At 41.1% G+C, this 10,180-nt stretch overlaps 1 pseudogene; it reads right to left on the bottom strand.

Annotated features, from left to right (window-relative positions):
* Window positions 1-5,431: 5,431 nt before the first annotated feature.
* THEM4P1 (thioesterase superfamily member 4 pseudogene 1) lies at window positions 5,432-6,562 on the bottom strand (annotated as a pseudogene).
* Window positions 6,563-10,180: the final 3,618 nt, after the last annotated feature.

The raw sequence follows: 10,180 nt of genomic DNA, 5'->3' as shown, positions 1-10,180 counted from the left end.
AATAGAACAAAGTTCTTCTGTCTGAAGTAGATTCTGCTTCCGGTCCCAGCCTCCGGATGATAATGACTCAAAGGGCAAAACATAAGTAAAGTGCATGCAAGGGTCATCTGTTGTTTTGAAATGAAATGAAGTCGCCTAACTCACACATCTGCTCCCCACCCCTGCTTTCTGGAGACGGCTAATGATCAAACGGAGCCCAGATTCTCCCCATACCCGTTTTGTGGAAATACCACCAGGGAAAGTGTTCCCTTGGCACTTAAGCTATAACTCAGAGTCTCAGAAAGTTCTTTTCTCTCTCATGCCCCAGTGTTAGTCGAGTGACTTTTGAGGCTTGAGGATGTTCTGCATGACTTTTATTTTGAGATCACATGTCTTGACACAGCTGGTGAGTGTTAATGACCAGGCCACAGCGCTCAGGTCTGCACGTCCACTCTCCCCATTTCCCAACAAGGGAAACATCCTGGGTTGTGGTTCTCACAACACAAAGGAGACACTAAAGCCTTAGAATAATCCTCAGTGGGAGAGGAGCTATTTTTCAATTTGGCTCAGGACCAAGTGCCAAAAAAACGTAAAACCATTGATTACATATTACTCCTTTTGGCCAAAAAGCAGAAATTATACAAACATGCAGGAACAATTTACTATATTTCTTTCCCACATTCTTTATTTTCCCCAGATATATTGTTTAAATTTGAACAGTTCTGCAAAAGATCCCATGGGAATAACACTTCCCACATGAACAGCTTCCTTGCTTATGAGAGTCAATTCGGTTCTCTGGTGGCCTGAAGGGCCAATTTAAGGTTATGTAAAGTAGCTGAGTAGCTGAGATAATATAACACCAGACGTCCTCATATGCCATTCTGTGGGGGAAGGGAAGAGGGAGAATCGTAAACCCCCAATATCTATGAGTTAATAAAAGACCATTCTCTGTAGCTTTGGGCTTAGTGTTACCTTCATACTATTCTTGCTCATGCCAACACAAAGCCCTGGTGATACAACAGAAAAGACAAGGAGGAGGACTGAGATATGATGTGGTGCAGCTCAGATCAACAACCACATATCATGATTGATATGCTAGGAATTAAACTGAAGGTTCAAAGGCAAGTTACATTCAATCTTTGCCATGAGCGTCCAGCAGAAAGAAAGGGCTATAATTTAAACCTGGTACCTCACAAACCAAAAGCAAGAATCTCAACTACAGCAAGGGGATATTATCTATCACTTTACAATTTCTTTCAACACAGTGATACTACTCTTGTTGGCCACTACCAATCACAGGGATAAAATGAATTAGCAGTTTCAGCCCCATATTAATGAAGCATCCAAAGCAATTGAAATAGAGCAGCAGTTTACCTAACAGCAGAAGTCATTTATTTTGTTATGTAGTTCTGTTATACTCCTGTGAAATTCAAATTATGTTCCCTGCCAAACAGAAAAAAATTTGGTGTATGGATAAAGTTGGAAGGGTTTGGGCAGGTTTTCTGTTTCTTTGTTAAGTGTTGTCTTAGTTATTATATTATCAAAGTCCAGTAGGGCTCCCCAGCCATCGTATTTCTAAGACTGAGGAAGAACTGATTCTTATGCTACGAGGAATTACTTTACTTCGCATAAAACCTTGATTAGCTATCTTTTGAGCAGACTTCAACCTATAGCAAAGCCTACTGAAGAATTTATTGAATGTTACTATATGCCAGGTTCTATATTAAGTGCTTTCTATATCCCATCTCTTTTACTCTTTGTAACAATTCTGAGAAAGTTAATATTATTTCTGTTATTCTGGAGGAAGAAATTGCTAGAGGTTACCTAACTTGCTGAAGATTACTCATCAATTAACCTGTGATGGAGTGGTGGAGCCAGAATTCAGAGCCAAAGTGTTGTAAATAATGGCCAAATACAATGAAATAGTATTGTGCTCAAATTTTAAAAATTCATCAAAAATATAATTTGTTAACAATAAAGATTTTTTACTTACATGTAATTGCTGAGAATATATTTGTATTTTCCAGAGTAGCCTTGAATTTTGCAAAGCTATTTTTTTTTTTGAGACAGGGTCTCTCTCTGTTGCCCAGGCTGGAGTACAGTGGTGTGATCTCAGCTCACTGCAACTTTGGCCCCGCCAGGTTCAAGTGATTCTCCTGCCTCAGCCTCCTGAGTAGCTGAGATTAGAGGCAGGAACTCCTGACTTCAAGCTATCCACCCACCTTGGCCTCCCAAAGTGCTGGGATTACAGGCATGAGCCACTGTGCCTGGACAAATTTTGCAAACTTTAATTCCACTTGAAAGAACAAGATTTTGACAACGTCAGGTGAAATATTTTTCTCAAACAAATGATTTGGGGGAAAAAGCTGGATAGTTAAGAACAATCTGTGTTTTTTTTTATCTTTCTTTTTCTGGAAATTAACCAGCACATTCTCATTGACATGATTTCTGCCAAGATATTTAAAAGTACCATAAATATAGAACAGGTATGCTCAGTGGAACAGACAGGGAAAAGACAGATGTTTAAGTAGTGCTGTTTGAATGGAAAATAGAAACTAGGCATGCATGTAGAGTTAGGTTGTATGATTCAATTAGCCTCAAAACATAAAACATGCTTTTTCTCTTGTTATGGCTTAATAACCTTCTTTATTCTTGTTCTAGTTCATAATTTGCTTTTGCATTGTAAAGAAAATATTTTTGTAGAAATGCAGGTAAGAATTATTTATGCAGTAATAAAATTCTACAGAACAAAATTTATAACACACACATACACATATATACACACACATATGCATATATATATATACATACATACACATATATATCATTTGAAAAGCATATAATATCAAACAAATCAGCTTTGTACCTGACCTGAATTATCACCATTTTTTTCTTTCTTTTTTTTTTTTTGTTTTTGTTTTTGGGATGTTTTTGTTGTTGTTGTTTTTGAGACAGGGTCTTGCTCTGTCACCCAGGCTGGAGTGCGGTGATGTGATCATGGCTCACTGCAACCTCCACCTTGTAGGCTCAAATGATCCTCCCACCTCAGCCTCCTGAGTAGCTGGGACTACAGGCATGCCACCATGCTTGGCTAATTTTTGTATTTTTTGTAGAGATGGGGTTTTACCATGTTACCCAGGCTGGTCTTGAACTTTTGGGCTCAAGCAATCTGCCCACTTCAGCCTCCCAAAGTTCTGGGATTACAGGTATGAGCCACCACACCCAGCTTGTTTGTTCTGTTTTTAATACCTACTAATGTTGGAATGGGAATGGCTGCAAACAAACTCAGTCTCAAAGTTTGTTTTGGGAGGTCTATTTAGTTGTGTGTCACTTGGTTTATCATCTCATTTCAAAGCTTTCATAACATTAAAAAACACAAAAACTAAACTTCATTTTGAGGTTCTATAGCTATGAATACCTGTGTGATTCCAAAGTATAGGGAAAGTGTATGTTTATTTTTATTTATTTATTTATTTATTTTTTGAGACAGGGTCTCACTTCTGTCACCCAGGCTGGAGTGCAGTGGCGTGACCATGGCTCACTGCGGCCTCAACCTCCTGGGCTCAAATGATCCTACCACCTCAGCCTCCCAAGTAGCTGGGACTACAGACATTCAACACCACACCCGGCTAATTTTTGTATTTTTTATAGAGAAGGGGTTTCACCATGTTGCCAAGGCTGGTCTCGAACTCCCGGGCTCAAGTGATCCACCCGCTTTGGTCTCCCAAAGTGCTAGAATTACAGGCATAAGCCACAGCGCTCAGCCTGTTTATTGTCATTTTAATGGTAATGGTATCAATGACCTTCTAATGTAGTTAGGTGTCTTATCTCTGAGGAGATGCTCCTGTGATATTTAAACTGAGATTAGAAGGAAAGTCCTCAGCAAAATACTAGCAAGTCAAATTCAGCAGCACAATGAAAAAGATAATATGACATGGTCAAGTGGGATTTATTCCAGGAATGCAAGGATGCACAACATATGCAAATAAATAAACATGATATATCACATCAACAGAATAAAGGACAAAAACTATATGATCATCTCAATAGACACATAAAAAGCATTTGATAAAATTCAAAAACCCTTCATAATAAAACCTCTCAACAAACTCATAATAGAAGAAACATACCTCAACAGAGTGAAGGCCATCTATGACCAACCCACAGCTAAAGGTAAAATCATACCAAGTGGGGAAAAGCTGAAAGCCTTTCCTCTAAGAACTGGCACAAGACAAGGATGCCCACTTTCACTACTACTATTCAACACAATACCGGAAGTTTTAGCCAGAGCAATCAGGCAAGACAAAATGAAAGACATCTGTACTTGTCTGTTTTCACACTGCTGACAAAGATATACCTGAGACTGGGTAATTTATAAAGAAAAAGAGGCTTAATGAACCCACAGTTCCACGTGGTTGGGGAGGCCTCACAATCATGGCAGAAGGTGAAAGTCATGTCTTACATGGCAGCAGACAAGAGAGAAAATAAGAACCAAGTGAAAGGGTTTTTCCCTTATAAAACCATCAGATCTCATGAGACTTATTCACTCCCATTGGGTACCTCCCACAACACATGGAAATTATAAGAACTAAAATTCAAGATGAGATTTGGGTGGGGACACAGCCAAACAATATCATTCTGCTTCTGGCTCCTCCCAAATCTCATGTCCTCACATTTCAAAACCAATCATGCCTTCCCAACAGTCCCCCAAACTCTTAACTCACTTCAGCATTAACTCAAAGTCCACAGTCCAAAGTCTCATCTGAGACAAGGCAAGTCTCTTCCACCTATGAGCCTGAAAAATCAAAAACAAGTTAGTTACTTCCTAGACACAATGGAGATACAGGCATTGGATAAATACAGCAATTCCAAATGGGAGAAATTGGCCAAAATGAAGGGGCTATAGGCCCTGCGCAAATCCGAAAACCAATAGGGCAGTTATTAAACCATAAAGTTCCAAAATGATCTCTTTTGACTCCATGTCTCACATCCAGGTTATGCTGATGCAAGAGGTGGTTTCCCATGGTCTTGGGCAGCTCTACCCCTGTGACTTTTCAGGGTTCAGTCTGTCTCCTGGCTGCTTTCATGGGCTGGCATTCAGTTTCTGTGGCTTTTCCAGGTGCACAGTGCAAGCTAGCAGTGGATCTATCATTCTGGGGTCTGGAGGACGATGACTCTCTTCTCACAGCTCCAGTAAGCAGTGCCCCAGTGGGGACTCTGTGTAGGGGCTTCAACTCCACATTTCCCTTCTGCACTGCCTAAGCAGAGGTTCTCAATGAGGGCCTGACCCCTGCAGCAAACTTCTGCCTGGACATCCAGGTATTTTTTTTTTTTTTTAATGGCACAGTGGTTTAATCTCTAGAATCCCAGAAAACAGATTTGAGGTATTCATTCCTATAGGATCTGGCTGTGCCTCCTACTCTGATCAAAAAGATTCATGTGTTCAGATACAACAAAGCTAGCTTTCTAACTTACTAACTTACAATGTATATGCATATGCACATGCCTGTGTGTTCCCCGCCATGTATTTATTCTTCATGCTTGGTTTTCTGGCATTTTGAAGTTTGCAGCAAAAGTTTCAATACACATTTATTTCTCTAGTCCGCAGTTGAGCAGGTAACATATCCTGAGACAGAGTTTTTTTTGTTTTGTTGTTTTTTTTGAGATGGGTTCTTGTTCTGTTGCCCAGGCTGGAGTGATGTGGCATGATCTTGGCTCACTGCAACCTCCGCCTCCCGGGTTCAAGCAATTCTCCTGCCTCAGCCTCCTGAGTAGCTGGGACTACAGGCACACGCCATCATGCCCAGCTAATTTTTTGTATTTTAGTAGAGATGGGGTTTCATCGTGTTGCCCAGACTGATCTTGAACTCCTGAGCTCAGGCAATCCGCCTGCCTCGGCCTCCTAAAGTGCTGGGATTATAGGTGTGAGCCATAGTGCCCAGCCTAAGAGTTGTTGATATGCTCGCAGGAAGTGTTTCTGTGTTAAAAAGTTGAGAAGATGGAAACTGAATCCTCCTCGTATTCAGAAGGCTGTTTCAGAAGGTCACTGTTGGCAGGCTTCTCCCTACAGGGATTCAGCAGTGAGGGAGCAGAGTATTCAGGGGACAACTGCTTCTTCTGGAGGGGAGAGAATGAGATGGAGTTCACCAGCAGCTCTTTATGTCAGACTTTTAGCAGGATTCAGCTTTATAAATAAGCTTGTTGCCTCTGAGTATGAGGTCTTCTCATCAACACTCTGAACATTACAGGAAACAAAAAATTTTCTTCCTTCAACTTTATCAAGTTGGCAATTTATCATAACAACAGAACAAAGAGGAATAGGTCTTTTGTAATTGATGTTGAGATTGGCAGTCATGACAATTCCCCCAGCCATCATTGCACACATACCAACAGTAGCATCAATCATCGTTGCAATGGCACCTCCATGAACGAATCCAGGTGGTCCTTCCAGGTAAGGGCCTCCTTGAAATAAGCAAACCATCCTTTTCTCAATGTCATTCTAGAACATCATGTATTCAAAGCCCAGGCCATCATCAAAGCTTCTGGTGAAGAGCTGGGCCTGTGATATCTGTTCTTCTTTCATAAGCTTTGGGTCAGCACAGGTCACGGCTCACTACCCAGCAGGGGCAGGCCTACCGGTGGTGGGCGCAGGGACCCCAGCATGCGGAGGCACGCAGCACAGCTCCTCAGCATGGCTCTGGGCCACAAGGGCCGGAGGACCGCACTTACTCTAGCCCTGGACAGTGAACACTACCTGACATCCAGGTATTTCTATAAATCCTCTGAAATCTAGGCAGAGGTTCCCAAACCTCAATTCTTGACCTCTGTGCACCCACAGAACAACACCACATGGAAGCTGCCAAGGCTTGGGGCTTGTACCCTCTGAAGCAACAGCCCAAGCTGTATCTTGGCCCCTTTTAGCCATGGCTAGAGCATTTGGGATGCAGGGCACCAAGTTTGTAGGCTGCAAACAGCAAGGGGGCCCTGGGCCCAGCCCTGGAAACCATTTCTTCCTCCTAGGCCTCTGGTCTGTGATGGGAGGGGCTGGCTCAAAGGTCTCTGAAATGCCCTGGAGACATTTTTCCCGTTGTCTTGGCAATTAACATTTGGCTCCTCGTTACTTATGCAATTTTCTGCACCTGGCTTGAATTTCTCCTTAGAAAATGGGTTTTTCTTTTCTATCACATCATCAGGCTGCAAATTTTTCAAACTTTTATGCTCTGTTTCCCTTTTGAAAACTGAATACCTTTAACAGCACCCAAGTCATATCTTGACTGCTTTGTTACTTAGAAATTTCTTCCACCAGATACCCTAAATCATCTCCCTCAAATTCCAAGTTCCACAAATCTATAGGTCAGGGGCAAAATGCCACCAGTCTCTTTGCTAAAATAAAGCAAGAGTCACTTTTACTCCAATTCCCAACAAATTCCTTATCTCCATCTGAGACCACCGCAGCCTGGATTTCATTGTCCATATCATTATCAGCATTTTAGTCAAATGCTGATTTGACCAAGTTCTCTAGGAAGTTCTACACTTTCCCACATTTTTCTGTCTTCTTCTGAGCCTTCCAAACTGTTCCAACCTCTACCTACTACCCAGTTCCAAAGTCACTTCCACATTTGTGTATATCTTTACCACAGTGCCCCACTCTACTGGTATCGATTTACTGTATTTGTCTGTTTTCATGCTGCTTTTAAAGACCTACCCAATCTGGGTAATTTATGACAAAAAAAGAGGCTTCATGAACTCACAGTTCCACGTGGCTAGGGAAGCCTCACAGTCATGGCAGAAGGTGAAAGGCACATCTTACATGGCAACAGACAAGAGAGAAAATAAGAACCAGGCAAAAGGAGTTTCCCCCTTATAAAACCATCAGATCTCATGAGACTTATTCACTACCATGAGAACAGTATGAGGAGAACTGCCGCCATGATTCAATTACCTCCCACCAGGTCCCTCCCACAACACATAAGAATTATGGAAGCTATAATTCAAGATGAGATTTGGGTGGGGACACAGCCAAACCATGTCAACATCCAAATTGGAAAAGAGGAACTAAAATTGTCCCTCTTTGTAGATGACATGATCTTATATTTAGGAAAACCAAAAGACTACTCCAAAAAACTCTTAGAACTGGTTAAAAAATTCTGCAAAGGTGCACAATACAAAATCAACATACACAAATTAGTAGTATTTCTTTACACCAATGATGAGCTATCTGAAAAAGAAATCAAGAAGACAATTCTATTTACAATAGCCAAAAAATGTAAAATACCTATGAATAAATTTAAACAAGGAGGTGAAAGACCTTTACAAAAACAAAAACAAAAAACAAAATACACCAAAAAACAAAACCACAAAACGCAGATGAAATAAATTGAAGAAGACACACACACACACACACACACACACACACACACACACACACACACACACAAACATGAAAAGAAGCCTGGGCATGGTGGTTCATGCCTCTAATCCCAGCACTTTGGGAGGTCGAGTCAGGCAGATCACTTGAGGTCAGGAATTCAAGACCAGCCTGACCAACGTGATGAAACCCCGTCTCTACTAAAAATACAAAAATTAGTTGGGTGTGGTGGTATGTGCCTACAATCCCAGCTACTCAGGAGGCTGAGGCAGGAGAATCACTTGAAGCTGGGAGGTGGAGGTTGCAGTGCAGTGACCCGACATTGTACCACTGTGCCACTGCACTCCAGCCTGGGCAACAGAGTGAGACTCTGTCTCAGAAAAAAAAAGGAAAGAGCATGCTCATGGATTAGAATAACTAATACTGTTGAAATGACCATACTACCCAAAGCAATCTACAGATTCAATGCAATCTCTATCAAAATATCAATGTCATTTCTCACAGAAATAGTAAATATCCTAAACCATAAAAGAGCTTGAATAGTCAAAGCAATTCTGAGCAAAAAGAATAAAGCTGGAGGCATCATACTACCAGAATTCAAAATATATTACAGGGCTATGATAACCAAAACATCATGGTATTGGTATAAAAATACACACATAGGCCGGGCATGGTGGCTCATGCCTGTAATCCCAGCACTTTGGGAGGTAGAGGTGGGCGGATCACGCACTCTGCCCTATTTTATGCTTGGTTATGTTTTGTCATCTTTCCCTTGCGGTACTATATCTATTGCGTCAAGATACAATTTCTATCACCTATACTTTATTTGGGTAAATGATTTAGAGGTCAGGAGATTGAGACCATCCTGGCCAGCATGGCGAAACCCTGTCTCTACTAAAAATCCAAAAAAATTAGCTGGGTGTGGTGGTGCATGCCTGTAATCACAGCTACTCCGCAGGCTGAGGCACGAGAATCGCTTGAACTCAGGAGGCGAAGGTCGCAGTGAGCCAAGATCATGCTCCTGCACTCTAGCCTGGCGACAGAGCAAGACTCCTTCTCAAAAAAAAAAAAAAAAAAAAAAAAAATAGACACATAGATCAATGGAATATAATAGAGAACCCAGACATAAATCCACATATTTACAACCAACTAATTTCTGACAAAGGCACCAAGAATATGCACTGTGGAAAAGACATCGTCTTCAATAAATGGTGCTGGAAAAACTGAATATCTATATGCAGAACAATGAAACTGGATCTCTATCTCTCACCATATACAAAAATCAACTCAAAATGGATTAAAAGTTTAAATGTAAGACTAGAAACTATAAAAGAAAGTTATACTAGAAGAAAACATAAAGGAAATACTTCAGGACGTTGGTCTAGACAAAAATTTTATGGCTAAGATCTCAAAAACACAGGCATCAGAAACAAAAATAGACAGATGAGACTATGTCAATTTAAAAAGGTTTTGCACAGCAAAGGAAACAGTCAACAGAATGAAGAGACAATATGTAGAATGGGAGAAAATACTTGTAAACTATTCATCTGACAAGGGACTAATGTTCAGAATACACAAGGAACTCAAACATCACAATAGTAAGAAAACAACCCTTTTAAAATTGGACAAAAGATAGCCTTGTATATAGTGAGACCCTGTCTTTGCCAAAATAAAATAAAAAGATTAACCGGGTGTGGCAGTACATGCCTGCAGTCCCAGCTACTTGGGAGACTGAGGTGGCAGGATTGCTTGATCCTGGGAGATGGAGGCTGCAGTGAGCCATGATTGTGCCACTGCACTCTAGCCTGGGTGACAGAATGAGACCATGTCTTG

Source organism: Homo sapiens, chromosome 12 (assembly GCF_000001405.40).
Source record: "Homo sapiens chromosome 12, GRCh38.p14 Primary Assembly".
In the NCBI taxonomy this organism is placed as follows: domain Eukaryota; kingdom Metazoa; phylum Chordata; class Mammalia; order Primates; family Hominidae; genus Homo; species Homo sapiens.
The sequence above is the reverse complement of the archived record's forward strand: the minus strand, read 5'-3'. Positions and strand labels throughout refer to the sequence as shown.